General features: G+C 39.0%; 1 long non-coding RNA gene across 1 annotated transcript, besides 1 other annotated feature; it reads left to right on the top strand.

The window, feature by feature from the left end:
• Positions 4098-4598: an enhancer, noted in NCBI's record as "H3K4me1 hESC enhancer chr6:53437832-53438332 (GRCh37/hg19 assembly coordinates)". NCBI's record gives its function as "activates a minimal SCP1, AML or CMV promoter by ChIP-STARR-seq in naive H9 embryonic stem cells {active_cell/tissue: H9 hESC(naive)}" and the evidence as "EXISTENCE:reporter gene assay evidence [ECO:0000049][PMID:30033119]".
• Positions 4357-16343, top strand: KILH (KRT19 interacting long noncoding RNA in hepatocellular carcinoma). Its single transcript, NR_110840.1, has 4 exons — positions 4357-4432; positions 8027-8209; positions 12743-12882; positions 13212-16343. It is a non-coding gene; the product is annotated as a KRT19 interacting long noncoding RNA in hepatocellular carcinoma (long non-coding RNA).
• The last annotated feature ends 1611 nt before the right edge of the window (positions 16344-17954 follow it).

Below are 17954 nucleotides of genomic sequence, written 5' to 3'. Positions count from 1 at the left end.
ATTTTAATAATTTTAACATCCTCTGATATTTTGCAGAAATACTGAGGAAATGTGAACACCACTTATTTAAGAAATATTTTCAAAATTTTCACTACAATTTTTTTTTTGAGACAGGGTTTTGCTCTCTCACCCAGGCTGGAGAGCAGTGGTGCTATCTCAGCTCACTGCAGCCTTGACCTCCTGGGCTCCAGCAATCCTCCCACTTTAGCCTCCCAAGTGGCTGGGACTACGGGCCCACACCACCATGTCTAGCTAACTTCTCTGTATTTTCTGTAGAGATGAGGTTTCACCATCTCGCCCAGCCTGGTTTCAAAATCCTGGAATCAAGAGATCTTCCCACCTCGGCCTCCCAAAATGCTGGGATTACAGGAACGAGCCACTGTGCCCAGCCTTTACCACCTTTTTTAAGGAAGATAATAGCATTCAAGTTATGTTTCCTCCCCAAAAAGCCCGTATCTTTTAAAGATTTATACTAAAATATTTACAGATGAAATAATATAATATCTGTGATTTTCCTCAAAATAACCTGAGGGGAAGGAATGGGTGGATGGGGATAGAGATAAACCAAGATTTGGCAATAATTTATCATTATTACAATTGGATGGTAGATAATTGAGAGTTCATTATAATATTCTACTTTTTTGTGTTTGAGATTTTCCATTTTTTATTTTTACTTTTTATTATTCTTTTTTTTAGACGGAGTCTGTTTCTCTGTTGCCCAGGCTGGAGGGCAGTGAGGCGACCTCAGCCCACTGCAACCTCTGCCTCTTGGGTTCATGCGATTCTCCTGCCTCAGCCTCCTGAGTAGCTGGGACTCTAGGCGTGCCACCACGCCTGGCTAATTTTCGTTTTTTTTGTTGTTGTTGTTGTTGTTGTTGTTGTTGTTTTGAGATGGAGTATCACTCTGTCGCCCAGGCTGGAGTGCAGTGGCACGATCTCGGCTCACTGCAAGCTCCACCTCCCGGGTTCACGCCATTCTCCTGCCTCAGCCTCCCGAGTAGCTGGGACTACAGGCACCCGCCACCACGCCTGGCTAATTTTTTTTTTTTTAGTAGAGACGGGGTTTCACCATGTTAGCCAGGATGGTCTCGATCTCCTGACCTCATGATCCGCCCGCCTTGGCCTCCCAAAGTGCTGGGATTACAGGCGGAGCCATCGCACCTGGCCTAATTTGCATATTTTTAGTAGAGACAGGGTTTCACTGTGTTGGCCAGGCTGGTCTCAAACTCCTGACCTCAAGTGATCTGCCTGCCTCAGCCTCCCAAAGTGCTGGGCATGATCCACCGCGATTGGCAGAAAAATATTTTTAAAGCATGCATACAATAGTATTTATATAATAAAGACACATACAAAGAAAAGCATAAATATCAAGTGCCCAAGAATTGCTGCCATTGGTGGGTGATGGGGATGGAAATCAAAGGCAGAAATAAAAGAAAATAAAAATGAATGAATGATGGAGAAGGAGGAGCCTAACACAGACCATTGGCCAAAGTATGAAATAAACTAAGGAGTATAATTGGACCAATCTTCAACAAACAGGAAAACTGGAAAATGAAAACAGGAAAAACAAAACAGGCCACGTGCAGTGGCTCATGACTGTAATTCCAACACTTTGGGAGGCTAAGGTGGGCAGATCACTCGAGTCTAGGAGTTGGAGACCAGCCTGGCTAAAATAACGAAACCCTGTCTCTACTAAAAACAGAAAAATGAGCCAGGCGTGGTGGTGCACACCATGCCTGTAATCCCAGCTACTCAGGAGACTGAGGCACAAGAATCACTTGAACCTGGGAGGCGGAGGTTGCAGTGAGCCAAGATCACGGCACTACACTCCAGCCTGGGTGACAGAATGAGACTCTAAAAAAAAAAGTCCTATGTCAGTCCAAAGGCTGGCATTTAAGGATTTAAGGTCTCCTAAATTTGGTCTTGGCCTACCTTTTTAAGCTTATTTTTTCACCCACCTTGAAAAACTAACATCCCATCAAAATTAAATATCTATTGTTGACCATGTGTCTTAGTCTATTTCAGGCTGTTATAATAAAATACCATAACCTGGGTAGCTTATAAACAACAGAAATTTATTTATGACATTTCTACAGGCTAGGAAGTCCAAGATCAAGGCACAGCAGATTCCATGTCCGGTGAAGGCCCACTTTCTGGTTCATAGAGGGTGCCTTCTTGCTGTGTTCTTGCATCATGGAAGGGTTTAGCTAGCTCTCTGGGGTCCCTGTTGTAAAGGCACTGATTCCAATTACAAGTGCTTTACCTTCATGACCTAATCACATGCTAAAGCCCTCACCTCCTAATACCATCAGTTTAAGGGTTAGGATTTCAACATATGAATTTAGGGGGGATGTAAGCATTCCATTCATTTCACCATGTATAGCCTATTCTTCATTGATCCCATCATACAGTTTCTGATGGTTCTACTGCCCTAAACTCTGCCCATGCTCCATATCTGCATAACAACTTCTTACCCATCCTTCCAAATCTACCCCGTACACCATCTCCTCAAGATGCTTTCCCTAGTGCCCTGCTCTCTTCTCTCTCAGTGGAGAGTAATCTATGTACAAAACAAAAAACATCACACTTATCAGATTTGCTTAAGTATTTATCCTTTTATAATTGGTATTAGAATTTTTCTGTATTTGCCTTCTGCTCTAAAGATCCAGTTCTTTACAGTGTAATATCCTAGGACAGGTATCAGTTATATTCATCTCTGTATCCCATAATGCTTAGAACTGCTTCAAACACTGTAATGCAGGTGTCTCCTAGATGATAAATGGGGGAAAGACAGAGAGAAGGAAGGGAGGGAAAGAGAAAGGAAAAGAAAGTCTGAATGAATAAATTGCATTGCATTGGTTCTTTCAAGGGAGAAAACTGACCAAATTCACTTGAAAACATAAAACAAAATACCCAAATTCACTTGAAAACATAAAAAGGATTTCATAAAAGATGTCATCAAGCCGGGTGCGGTGGCTCATGCCTGTAATCCCAGCACTTTGGGAGGCTGAGGCGGGCAGATTACCTGAGTTCAGGAGTTTGAGACCAGCCTGGCCAACATGGTGAAACCCCGTCTCTACTAAAAATACAAAACTTAGCTGGGTGTGGTGGCAGGTGGCTGTAGTCCCAGCTACTCAGGAGGCTGAGGCAGGAGAATTGCTTGAGGCCAGGAGAGGGAGATTGCAGTGGCCCAAGACCATGCCACTGCACTCCAGCCTGGGCGACAGAGCAAGACTCTGTCTCAAAAAAAAAAAAAAAAAAAAAAAAAAAGATGTCATCAATTTTATAACGTTTCTTTCTCAGCTGTTTGGAGTTTCCTTTTTAAAGGCACTTAAGTGCATGCATCAAATGGTACAATAGAAACAAAAATATAAGCTAAAAGCTGAAAAATAAATTCAGGGGCCTTTTGGTAGGTCACGACCCCCCCCTTTATCCCTGCTGCAACAACAGCAGTAATGTGGAATAGGTGTTTCAACCCATTGCACATGGAGGAGTTTGTGCTTCCCCACACCTTACCCTACGTACCTCAGCTGATAGGCTCAGCAAGAGGTAAAAACAGCCATGGGACAGAAAAAAATCCAGTCCTTTTATGGGAGATGGCATAGGTGTGTTTGGAGAGAGGCAGTCCTTGGTTCAAATCCTGAGCATGGTTTTCTTAGGTCTGTGACCTTGAGCAACTCATTCAACCTCTCTGATTTTCTCTGTTGAGTTTCCTAACATCAAAATGGAGTGACACCTATTGTGGTTGCCATTGTTATTACTGACTGCCCTGCCTCATCCTTCTTTTAAATGACGTGATGCCTTTTGGGTAGAAGGGAGGCTGTTGCAGTTTTCCTGTTGAAAGGGGAGTTGCAACTGCCCTGTGATTCCATGGAGACTTGTGTGTGTGTGGAAGGCTGGAAAGCAAAGGTTGCAGTAAGTTTGTGACAGAAGCTTCCCTGAGACACCTGGAGACCCTTTGGCTTTGAGCAGAGCTGCTCCTGGACGAAGGAGAGCAAGCCTTGGGGACTAGACTGAAGTCGCCGAGAACCCGACTACTAAACAGTGCTGAGGGGACAGCCTCTGGGGACTGCATGCAGCCAGACCCCGGGATGTCTCATGTGATCCTCCTTCAGGCCACCGGAAGTGCAGTGGGCGTGGCCAGGAACAGAGCGGGAGAGCTAGCAGCAGGTACCTCCAGGGGAGGAGCGGGTTATAAACCTGGTGTAAGGCACGCCGTCCAGGACTCCCAGAAATACCGAACGAGAATCGTGAGAAAGTGGAGGATGAGGGAGAGTTCAAGGGATCACAGCCTGGGGAGAAGAACCATGGAAAGCTGGACATTAAAATTTAATAGTATTTCATTTTCTACTCCAGGTGGATGAAATCAAGGCTTGCTGCTGACAAAATATAAATCATGCCATATGATGCCAATTCTAAAATGCCATTAATTGTAAGTTGTGCCATCGATTTAAATAAGACTTTTTTGAAAAAAAAATTTACTCCTAACATTAATAATAAACAATGATCATAAAAGAAATCCTGAATTTAAACTCCAGTCAGCATCTGGCCGGCCATGGTGGCTCACGCCTGTAATCCCAGCACTTCGGGAGGCTGAGGTTGGAGGATCGCTTGAGACCAGGAGTTTGAGACCAGCCTGGGCAACATAGTGAGACCCCATCCCTATTTAAAAATTTTTTTAATTTTACATATTTTATTGTATTGTATTTGATTCTTTTACAAATTTCAGTAGGTTTTTGGGGAATAGGTGGTGGTTGGTTACATTAATAAGTTCTTTAGTGGTGATTTCTGAGATTTTGATGCACCCGTCATCCAAGCAGTGTGCACTGTACCCATTGTGTAGTCTTTTATCCCTCCCACCCCATCCCACCCTTTCCTCCAAGTCCCCAAAGTCCATTATATCATTCTTATGCCTTTGTGTCCTCATTGCTTAGCTCCCACTTATAAGTGAGAACATACGGTGTTTGGTTTTCCATTCCTGAGTTACTTCACTTAGAATAATAGTCTCCAATTCCATCCAGGCTGCTGCGAATGCCATTATTTCGTTCCTTTTTATGGCTGAGTAGTATTCCATTTTCTTAATCCACTTGTTGATTGATGGGCATTTGGGTTGGTTCCATATTTTTTGCAATTGCAAATTGTGCTGCTATAAACATGCATGTGCAAGTATCTTTTTCATATAATGACTTCTTTTCCCACCTACTAGTGGGATTGCTGGATCAAATGGCAGATCTACTTTTAGTTCAAAAAAATTTTTTTAGTTTAAAAAATAAAATTAAAATAATAACAATAATTTAAAAAGGGCCAGTTGGTGTGATGCATGCCGATAATACCAACTATTCAGGAGGATCACTTGAGGCCAGGAGTTGGAAACCAACCCAGGAAACATAAGGAGACCCCATCTCTATTAAAAAAAAAAAAAAAATCCTGGATTCAGATAGCATAAACTATAAACTGTAACAAACAAGTATCAAAACAGAGAAAATGTGATATTTGTACCATTTAATAAACTTCCCTTTTATTCAGTAAATAAAAAATAAATGGTACATTTAATGCTTTGATAATTGTGAAGATCCTTACAAACATTACTTTTACATTTTGAAATGTACATATACAATTTTACGTGAAGTTTTTGAACAGAGGTAAAGATGGAATATAAAATATTTTGATCAATATTCTTTCCCACTAATTATGATAACTTTATTTGTAATGTACACTATTTGAGAAGTAACTGTCAGTAGAAAACAAGTGAAAATTCATATCCAAAAGGTAGAAAGTACATATTTTATTTTTCTAAAAAAAAAGATTCTGTTTCATTTTGTCACCATTAAACGTTGCCAAAATGTCCATTTCCTCTATGAAAAATTAGATATGTTGTAAACCGAGTACATAAATAACATTTTATTGGACATAAAACACTATGTGGTTACATAAGCTTTAGAAATGAGGATTAGTCCATATTTGGTACAATATTAACCTTAAAACAGACACACTGAATGGTGAGAAGATAATTTTTATTGTATATATAGAAACAGTTAATTGGGAAATACAGAAAAATCCTTCACAAAACAAAAGATATTTTATCTGTAAAAATCAGTAATGCTCATGGCTTATTCCAGGTGATATGAAGATAATCAAATAGCAGTTCCTTAAATTTTATAACTAAAGCATATATAGAAGTATTCACTTATATCTACAATTTACTTTTAAAAATGGTAAGAAAACTGTGCATAAGTAATAAAAATAAATGTATTTCCTACTATTAACTACAAATTTCAAAGGCTAATAGTTGTATTATTTTAGAATTATCAATATACAAGTATTTCAGTATTCAAACACAGTTTATAAACATGTCATTTTAAACACGATTTCCTCAGAGAGGCCTTTTCTGAAAAACACACCCCTGTTATCTAAACTATATCTTCTTCCCCTTATTCTTTGTCATAGCCCTCTTTCACCGTCATGGAACCTCACAATTTTAAATTGTGCTGTAGCAGGCCGGGTCTCACTAACAGCTGAACAGGCAGGCCTCCATGACAACTGTTTCAGCACTGACTGAGTGTTAAGTTAAATATTAAAAAGTTGATAGAGGCCGGGTGCGGGCTCACACCTGTAATCCCAAAACATTGCGAGGCCGAGGCAGGCGGATCACGAGCTCAGAAGATCGAGACCATCCTGGCTATAAGGGTGAAACCCCGTCTCTACTAAAAAATAAAAAAAAAAAAATTAGCCAGGCATGATGGCGGGCGCCTGTAGTCCCAGCAATTCGGGAGGCTGAGGCAGGAGAATGGCGTGAACCCAGGAGGCGGAGCTTGCATTGAGCCGAGATCCCGCCCGTTGCACTCCAGCCTGGGGGACAGAGCGAGACTCTGCCTCAAAAAATAAATAAATAAATAAATAAATAAATAAGTTGATAGAAGGCCGGACGCAGCGGCTCATGCTTGTAATCCCACAACTTTGGGAGGCTGAAGCGGGTGGATCACTTCAGGTCAGGAGTTCGAGACCAGCCTGGCCAACATGGTAAAACCCCATCTCTATCAAAAATACAAAAATTAGCCGGGCATGGTGGCAGGTGCCTGTAATCCCAGCTACTCTGGAGGCCCAGGCGGGAGAATCACTTGACCCTGAAGGCGGAGGTTGCAGTGGGCAGAGATTGCAGTGAGCCAAGATCATGCCACTGCACTCCAGCCTGGGCGACAGAGCAAGACTTCCTCTCAAAAACAAACAAACAAACAAACAAACAACAACAACAACAAACGTAATAGAGCCAGTGTCCTTATACAAAGGCTGGAAGGTAACAAAAGCCCACTGAGAGTTTTGCCTAGACTTTTCCTGGGCCTTGAAGCATGACAAGATAACAAAGGAATTCTTAACAAGATCCGTTTAGTATTAAACAAGTTTTACTGGGGTCTGAAGGAACTCCCTAAACCTCCATGATTTAGCAAGGAGACAAGATAAGGGTAATTACCTTTGGCACCTGGACCCATCTAGATTAAGTAAATTTACTGAGGCTCCACAGGAAGGTCTTTAGGCCACAGACTTTAGCTATAGGTTAGAAGAAATTAATAACTTATGTCTTCCGATGAATGCACACTTACACGTAGACATGTAGCTTAGAAGGTATATAAGCTCTGCAAAACTGTAATTTTGAGTTGGTCTGCTGATATTTTCCCGGCCTTCTCTCTATACCCGGTTACAGAAGTAAACTCTCTTCTTTCCCAGTTCATCTGCATCTCGTTATTGGGCCGTGAGAATAAGCAGCCTGATCCTTGGTTCATTCCGGGAACAGTGCATTCATTTATGTGGCTCTTCATTTAACACTAGTCTCCTCCCACCCAACTAAGCTATAAGCTCCATGAGAAATATCCTGCCTTTTGCTTGTTATTTTGTCCCAGTACCTAGCACGGTACCAGATACCTAGTAGGCACTTAATAAATATTCATTAAATCTATTCATATTTCCCCAGTCCCCTTACTTTACTCCTTTTTCTGCATCTTTCCTTTTATTGAACCCCTACACTTCCCAGCTCCTCCATTAACCCCTGCAGAGTATTCACTGACTGCTGAAACTAGAGCATCACTGAGAAGCAAGAGATAGACTGACCTAACTAGAGGGAGAGCTGCCATCCAGGATGATGCCACCATCACAGGAGGTGAGAAGGAACACAGCATCTTCTGCAAATGCTACAGTAAATAGGGACGGGGTGCAGGTAAGATCACTGACCCCAGGTCACTGACCCCAGTATTCTCAGAGCCAACAGCTAACTTTGCAGGAGAGCCCTGAGCCAATTACTAGATATGTAAACTTTAAAAAAAATGCTTAAGTCATCAAAATTTATTTTTTTCAATGGCAAAATGAGGATATTATTGTTCACCTCATATGGCTGTAGTGAGAATTAAATAACAGGATGCTTATGAATTTGAACCCAATGATGAACACATACTAATGTCTCAATTAATGCCATAATTATTTGATCCAGATCTGCAAACATTCAAAAACAGCTTTGCATAAATAAGCCCTGAATTAAATGAATCAGCCTCCTTGATCTTTTCCAGATGAATCATTTGCCCAACTTCTTCCCATACAATGAGATATCATATCTTAAATATGCAAATCAGTAGTTTTTTGCACTAATCAAGAGAGATTGCTCTGCTCCAACTGTCCCCTCATACACTCAGCTGAAATATTAAGACACTCTGCTAGCTTTCTTACAAGATAAACATGTTGTTCATCTCGCACTATGAGCTACTGGGCCAGAGCCCCACTGGAGGCTGCTTGAAATACCTCAAATATGATTTCAGAAATAAGATGGTAAATGGGCATGTGCCTTTTATTAATAGCACCTGTGGAGAACTTTCTTCTCTAGAGAATTTTTCCAAAGCATTTTCATATATGTTGTTGTTTAAGCCTCACAATAACTGTGAGACATAGACAGAATTATTATCCTTTCCAGTTTTTCTTACTAAAAAAAAAAAAAAAATCTTGCTGGGCACAGTGGCTCATGCCTGTAATCCCAGCACTTTGGGAGGCTGAGGTGGGTGGATCACCCAAGGTCAGGAGTTCAAGACCAGCCTGGCCAACATGGTGAAACTCTGTCTACTAAAAATACAAAAATTAGCCAAGTGTGGTCGTGGGTGCCTGTAGTCCCAGCTACTCGGGAGGCTGAGGCAGGAGAATCATTTGAACCCTGGAGGCAGAGGTTGCAGTGACCTGAGATCGCACCACTGCAGTGCAGCCTGGGTGACAGAGGAAGACCCCGTCTCAAAAAAAAAAAAAAAAAAATTATTTTTTTCCCAGAACTTCGGCTAAGAGTTTCACTTATTTGCTTAAAGTCTTCACCAGCACACTAATATTTTGAAAGAAGAAATGAATGACTTAATGAATGAACTAGTAAGTAAGAAATCCAAACCCCTAATCCAGGCTGTTGGTCTTCCCTTCCCTTCCCCTCTCCCTTTCTTCATCTCTCACTGTCTCTGTCTTTCTCCTTTTTTGTTTCTGGTAATTTTTCACAATCTCTACTACAGCTTGTAGGTCCTTCTAAGCTCTGGACCTCTGGAATGCAGTTACTAATGCGATTACTAAAACTATAAGCCTCAAAAAAAAAACATAATAGCCATTGTTGTTTATTACTTCAACAGTATTCTTTCTAAGTACAGTTAAAGGAAACTTAGCTTTCTTTAATCATGCAACAACATGTTACCTGAATTGAGCTGTTAACAGACTTTAAAAGTTGAAGTAAATATTTGCAGACTTACGTTGGCCTTTCAAACCAATCACTTTATAATCATCTGAATACAGAACAGCCCTGAAGCTGTATAAACCAGCCATAACTTGAAAACTAAAACTTGGAAACCCCAAAACATATTACTGTAGTTAAAATGTAATGACTCTGAACCTCCTTTCTACATCTAGAAAATACAAGAATGGATAAAAGAGAAGAAACCCTTATTGGGGAGTCTATCTTTAAGCAGAATTTATGTTATTTTCTTATGAGGGAAAAAAACAGGATTTATAAGCAACTTTGAGTATAATATACTAATATGAATTATTTGTTTCTTACATATTTGACATCATCAAATGTACCAGATTTCTGAAAAACATGACTACTTGTACTTTTTCCTCTTGTTTTACATTCTCTATGTTTTCTACCATCCTGTGCCTGGAACTTTATATCAGCATGGTCTTCTAAAGATTATAGTGTAATACTATCAAAGGCATGTCACTCATTATTGTTTTTATCCCAAGTAAATTCTGAAAAAAATAAAAACCTTCACCACGTAACAACATGGTAAGTCAATTTAAAATATCAGTCGAATTTCTTTAACATTATGACACTATTTTGGCGTGCTGAGTAAATCTCATAAATCTCTCATAAACCCTTCAGGCTTTAGGCATTGGTTAAATACTGTGTTTCTAAGGAACTATAGATTCATAACAGAAACTAGGGATTCTCAAAGAGAACTAAAGCATCTGTCTTTCAATTATAATTCATGCTGATTAACCCACTCCATATTTAAGAAGGATGCTGTATGCCCTACTCGAAGGGAAATGGGGAAAAAAAATTCTCTACTATAACTCTCCGATTTTATCTTCAGCAGGAGCAAAGGAAAATTCTCTAAGAGCTGGCAGCTCTTTTAACCTGCAGAGTCACTGCACCTGTAGGTAAATTATTAGCAAAACTAACCAGAAGACAGTCTGACACATTCATAACAACAGGTGCTCTCTATTATTTCAAAATGGCACCTAAAGTGGTCCAATGTATTGTGTTTATTTTCTGTCTTCTCTTTCTAGAAGGAAAGCTTCATGACAGCAGAAATGCTGCCTTTCTCATTCACCCAATATCCCCAGCACCGAAAACAGGACCCATACAGAGTGGGTGCCTAGTATTTGTTAAATAAACAAACACAAATTTAATCTAACTGACAGATAATTGCCTTAGTTATATAACTGTGGCACTTTACGTATTATCCAAACTTTCAAACTAAGTTCCTTGCAACCCAGATCAACACTGGTACTAACTTGACAGCAGGTTTATGAACATATATATAATCCAAGCTATTAAACATTTAAAAACAACTGTAAAATATTTCTTTCTTTCTTTTCTTTTTTCTTTTTTTTTTTTTTTTTTGTGAGACGGAGTCTCTCGCTCTGTCGCCCCGGCTGGAGTGCAGTGGCACGATCTTGGCTCACTGCAACCTCCTCCTCCCGGGTTCAAGTAATTCTTCTGCCTCAGCCTCCTGAGAAGCTGGGATTACAGGCCTGCGCCACCATGCCCACATGCCCAGCTAGTTTTGTTTTGTTTTGCTTTGTTTTGTTTTGCTTTGTTTTGTTTTTGTATTTTCAGTAGACGGGGTTTGACCATATTCTTAGTTATTTGTTTTGCATAATGAAAAAAAGAAAATAGTGCCAGATGTAACCTCAATAATAATTTATCTTCAAGGACAAATTCTCACAGTCAAAGTTTCAGCTATTGCCATCACCATTGCAATCAAATTATGACTCAGAAAAACTACCAGATTTCCCCATCACAAATGCCTACAACTACAGGATTGTGCCCCTGACCTTACTGAACACAGCATAAGCAGTGATTAGTTCCCTGGACACGGAAATGGTTCATGATCGCTCACAAAAGTTACATTGGGTTTTCCTAGACAGGACAAAATGGCTTTGTTGTGTGTTTGAGAGACATCTCTAGACAGAGAATTTTCATTTTTGATACCATGAATTTTGGTGAATTATATTATGAAATGATACTGTTTTATTTCCATGGATTTATGTTAAGGATTGTATTTAGAGAAAAATTTCCTTTAAAAAGAAATCATCACTTGAGAGTCTTCTAGCCATGCTAACTCTCAAGTTACTTTAATCTCTCAAGCCTCTACTTCAAGTGATTGGTGATTCAACTCCTAACCAATCTGCCATTTGGTCTTACCCTGTATCTTCCTCCACCAGCACATGACATAGATATCCTTCTGAAACCCAAAAATTATGAACTAGGAAATCAAAAGGTATACAGAGAGAAATAGAAATGTATTAAAAAACCTAAAAACAGCATCAAATTTAAGAGTTTATTTTGTACAGTCTTGGTCCAGTAAATATGACTATTTTATGTTGAAAATCTCTTTTGAATTAATTATTCCATTGCTCTTGGGGCAAGGAGGGTCCAGAATTTGCAGTCAAAAGAAATGGGATTAAGTCCAGTTTCTATCATTAAATGTATCTCTAAGAACTGAATCAGTTATTAGAAGGAGTCAGGGACAAGAGTGGAATAATAAACACTGGGGACTATAAAAGGTGGGAGAATGGGGAGAGGGGTGAAGGTTTAAAAATTACCTATTGAATACAGTGTTCACTATTCAGGTGATGGGTATGCTAGAAGCCCATAGTGCAGCATATGCATGTAAGAAAGCAGCACTTGTACCCCCTAAATATACAAAAATAAATAAATAGGAAAAAAAAGTAGTGGGGCATAGAGAGAAAATTATGAAAGAGCAAATTAAATTTGTAAAAAATGTACCATAAGTTTATATGTTTATCTACTATAAGTTTATGCAAAACAAATTAAAACTGTTAAAAAGATAAGACTGTTAATGTAAAGCACGAGGTACATTGTAGGTATATGAGAAGTGTTTGTTCCATCACCTCTTATGTCTTCCTTTCTTCTGTCAAAGCACTTCCTAAACCAAAAAGGTCTACTCAGATTTCTGGTGTTACTGTTTTTATGGTTTTGTATTGTTTTCAGCAATGTGAGGAAAGTGGAATGAACTTGGACTTTGAAGGCAAACTAACCTGGAATCAAATACTGGCTCTGCTGTTTGCAAGTGTGATCTTTGGGTATGCTTCCTAATCTGTGAGCTTCAACTTCCTCCTCTGTAAACCAAGGTAATACCTTATAGTAGTCTTTCCCAAACTTTTTCATAATATTGTACACTTTGAAAATGAGAATATTTTACTGCAAAGGATGTTGCCACCTGCAGTGAGAGGTGACCAGATCAGGGAGCTCTGATCACCTGAATGAAGTCCTGCTTTGCTTTCACAAGGGCTGAGGGCAATTGGCATTTTGGCACTTGGTAACTATACAGGGCACATTAATGTTCTGGGCACACTTTTTGGGAAGCTCTGCTTTACTCAGTTTGTGGGGCGGAATAAATATAAGCTTTTCTGATCATAATAGATATTGAATAATGTCTTGATTCCCCTTTCTTCTCCAGATCAAAGACAAACAGGGAAACCTACTTGTCTGGTGCCCATCCCCTTGGCAGAACACTCCTCTGAAGGATGACAGTTTGGCTGTGCCAGGGCAGAGCTGCCGACACCAAATGAGCCTTCATAGCAACTATCTGATGAGGAACTCACTGGCCTACCTTTCCTTGACAGCTGGGGCCTGCCAGCCTTGAAGCATGACTCCACAACGCCCCTACCCAAGGCCATGGAGGTTGCTGCTGATGAGCAAGCTGTTTTATATTTAATCCAGGTTTCTGCTTGGAGAGGAAGAAGGTAGAGGAGCCAGCGAAGGTTTGTCTGAATGATACTTGCAGAAAAAACACTGGTAACAGTCACAAAACTTTGAAAATTAAAGTGCCAGCGAGGTGGCTTTTGGTGGCCAGATGAAAGCTGTTAACCCCAGCTTTTACAAATGCTGGGCTTTGAGTAAGAGGAGAGTGTCTTTCTGGAAAAGTTTGAGACCTCTTACTATTGTAGCAGCAAAAGCATCCACGGCTAGTGTTTTCCAAGCTCACTGCTACTTGTTGCAGTCTAGCAGTGTTGTGTCTCCTGAAATTCCTACCTTTCTTGATGGATGTAAAAGAAGTACCAATTTATTAAGCTCCTAGTATGTGCCAGATGCTCCATATATGTTACTTTTGATCTTCAGAACCACTCAGCAACTTACTGCTTCTCCTCACTCCCAATTACATAGATGATGAAATTGAAGCAGAGTAGTTTGTCTAGGATTACAGAGCTAGGAGGGACCAGAGTTGGGATTCTCCCTCAGTTCTAATACACAGTATGCTACATTTCCTGTCGAGTAGTAACAAAGCTTCTAAGAAATCTGAGTTTTCATTTGTTAAAACTGAATTTTTAAGAAATGTAGACAGGAGCACTAAGTACTCTATAGTTTAACGTTAATAATGGTACAAGTATATAACCAGTTTCTCATGCACTGGCATAACATACTTCAGAGGGTACACCAGGGCTGGATGAATATCTGAACCCAAAAATATCTGAGACAGGTCTCAGTTAACTTAGAAAGTTTATTTTTCCAATTTTGAGGACATGCACCCATGACACAGCCTCAGGTGGTCCTGACGACATGTGCCCAAGGTAGTTAGGGCAAAGCTTTTTTTTATACACTTTAGAGAGACAGGAGATATCAATCAATATATGTAAGATGTACATTGGTTATGTCCAGAAAGACAGGACAACTAAAGCAGGGAGGGGGCTTCCAGGTCTTATGTAGGTGAGAGATAAATGGTTGCATTCCTTTGAGTTTCTGACTAGCTTTTCCAAAGGAGGCAATCAAATATGCATTTATCTCAGTGAGCAGAGGGGTGACTTTGAATAGAATGGGAGGCAGGTTTGCCCTAAACAGTTCCCAGCTTGACTTTTCCGTTTAGCTTAGTGATGTTGGGGCCCTGAGATTTATTTTCCTTTCACACTTCTTCCATTTTCTTTTTAAAAATCTTTTGAAGAAAGCATTTTAGAAGAAAATGAGTCTCTGCTCTCATGGCTAGGATAGTTTATTCCTACAGGGGTAGGTCCCAAGTTATTAGGAAAGCTCATTTTTAGCAGATTGAGAAGTCTCATGTCCTGTGAAGAGACAATAGTAGGAGGAAGGGAGAAAAACAACAAACAAGAGAACAATCCTAGAAAATCTATATAGACCACATTACTTTGAAGTCCATACATCAGTAGGTAGGTATGAAAGTGGCTTATGTACCTAAATAGTTTGCTTTTATTTTCTTCTGAAGTTTAAGTTGTCTAGATTCAGTTTGCAGGACTTTAGAAAGTACAGCTTAGTTTTCAATTATTTCGAATTAGGAAAAATGGGGTGAGGGGAAGGAAAAGAAGGAAAAAAATTGAAAACATTATTTTGGAGACTTGTAGCCAGGAAAAATTAGAATTCAGTCTAAACTGTAGAAAATAATAAAAATAGAAAAACATTAGGCAAGACTAAAATCTAACAACAGGTGCACTATAGTTTTTGAAACGTATTTTTTCTCTCTCCAGTTTCCCATTTTCACTAAAAACAAATCATAGAAGAACCAATTTGCTTTATTATACTTGGCCAGATTATTTGTATGAAGTGAAGCAAGAATAATTATTTTTCACATAGGCTTTTAAAATTAGCTTTGATGGACTTCTTCCATAGAAGGAATCTCACATAAGCCTTTTTTAAAGCCAAGCCCAGCCACAGATTTGTACCATCAAATACCTATGAGTTGGGTGAATTATTCTCCTTTTGAGTTCCAACATAACTTAGGGCTCTTGGGCCTGTCAGAAAGTGACATTCTTTACTTACCACAGGTCAGGAACACCGTTCAGGGACTGTGCAGACAAGGTATGAGGCCAGTTTCCCCAAGGGGTTTTTATTGGCTCTATAAATCAAGTTTAATACCTTAAAGGAAAGCACACCATTCCAGCCAAAGACTCAGTAAAATAACCAGTTTCTCCAATTGTGTCCTGTTACAAATAAAAACAGATTCTTATTTCACTTATGCAAATAACTATATTGCCGTAAGTCACGAATACTTACAAGTAGTTTCCAAATTTTGGAGAAATCAGGTAGAGAGAAACAAATAAGCTCCAAATTTCGTTCATAGGAGTATACTTGTTAAAAGCTGTCAATAGCTCAAAAGAAAAGTTTCCTTGACTCTGAAAAACAAAACAAAGGATCAGCAACGTTTTGTGCAAAAAGTCAAAAAGACTACTTCAGTCTTCTACTGGTTCAGTCCATGCAGTTAATTTCTGTTCTGCTTGATATTCGTGAACATTTCAGCTCTCCGTAAGTCCTGAAAGTTTTTCCTCTTTTCTAATGTCACAATCTCCAAAGTTATCAGAAAACTGCATTCAAGAACACATGTTAAGAGTTTTATAGCTGATTATAAAACTACCTTCAAAAGAGGAACAAAACAAGACAACAATTGTCCATGGATGACAAAAAATTTTAGGGCAGCCATAGTCAAAGACACAGTTGACAAGAAAATTTGTTACCTCTGTGGCATACAATAATTTAACATAACAATTATAATTACTGATAACATACACTAAGTCATATCAGAATTTTAGGAGTTTCCTATTATTTTGGAACAGATACCAATAACACATTTATACAAATACAGCCCAAAGAAAACCAAATACCATTTCATATTTGACAGTGCTTCCTGTATAATTTTTATACCAAATAAGACAAATATGTCATTTTTGGACTTTAGGGAACATAATATTTTAAAGGATGAATTAGGTCAGATAAAGACATAATTTATAATTTGATTTTGGAAACTTTGTCAAATATCAAAGGTTGAAAACACTTGATATCACAAAATAAGATCACAGGTCATTGTAAAAAGTCATTTATTTAACCAAAGTGATAACTCAAGGATTTAAAAAAAAAAAAGGCAAAAACCTTCATTATTTTAGAGAGGAGACTTAATTTCCCAAACAAGCCCTAATAAAAACAGCATGAAGCCAATTAAATTTGCTTTCCAAAATTTTATACACAATCTATAAAATTTTAATCCTGACTATAAGATATAACTTCCATAAACCTTTTATAACTTTTATAACCTTTATTAAGGAGTCAGTCAATGCTTCCAGAAAACCTTGTTAATACTACACAGGGAACCATATGATGGTCTTGCATCAGTATGCCTTTGACATTAACGGTTAATTTATAGAGAAACAACTTATTTTCTCTATCATAATCAGTCCTTACAATCTTAAACACACACCTCTTCCACAGAATAGTCCCTGGGCCTTGAGGAGTTGATTAGCTTTAATTTCTGGCCTTGTGTTTTAGGAATCCAGTTTATTTTGATTGACTTCTTCTACCAGACCTGAAGATGAGGATTTAATTGCTGTCAGTGTTTAAGATTTAGCAAGACTTGGTGTCCTTTTTAGACCCAGGAGTCAAAGCCCTGTAACTCAATGTCACAAGTACTTTAAAAGCACATACAGAAAGATACACGGATGTAATACCTTTAATTTTTTAAAAATTTTCTTTTAACCTCAGTTTTTTTCTAAACAAACCAAAACTTAATAATAATGGCATAGGAATTATTTCAATAAAATGTAAAATCTGTTAGTCAGTTACCAAAAAGCAAAACAAAAGACCTTCTGCAGTGCACAAAATATTATGTTGGAAGAAAACATTTCCTTTAGACCTGTATTGTTAGCATCAGGCCACAACAAACAGAACTCGAGGGAAAAAAAACTTACATGAGCTGAAAATGAGATGAAAGTGAGCATTACTATTTTACACATTTTAAAAGGGGAGAGAAAACCAAAAATGGTGAGATGCAATAAAAGTTGAACTTTGGGTTAAAAAAATTAAAATGTCTTACAATTTATTAAGAGTAAATCCAGCCAGGCATGGTGGCTCATGCCTGTAATCCCAGCACTTTGGGAGGCTGAGGCAGGCAGATCACGAGGTCAGGAGTTCAAGACCAGCCTGGCCAATGTGGTGAAACCCCGTCTCTACTAAAATTACAAAAATTAGCCAGGCGTGGTGGCAGATGCCTGTAATCCCAGCTACTCGAGAGGCTGAGGCAGGAGAATTGCTTAAACCTGGGAGGCGGAGGTTGTAGTGAGCCGATAATGCGCCACTGCACTCCAGCCTGAGTGACAGAGCAAGAATCTGTCTCGGAAAAATAAAGAAAAAGAGTAAATCAATCCCCTAAGAAACTTTTATTGTTCTAATCAATTCTTTAATGTGTAAGTGTGTTTTTTTACATCAA

Source organism: Homo sapiens, chromosome 6 (genome assembly GCF_000001405.40).
Source record: "Homo sapiens chromosome 6, GRCh38.p14 Primary Assembly".
Lineage (NCBI taxonomy): Eukaryota > Metazoa > Chordata > Mammalia > Primates > Hominidae > Homo > Homo sapiens.
The sequence above is the reverse complement of the archived record's forward strand: the minus strand, read 5'-3'. Positions and strand labels throughout refer to the sequence as shown.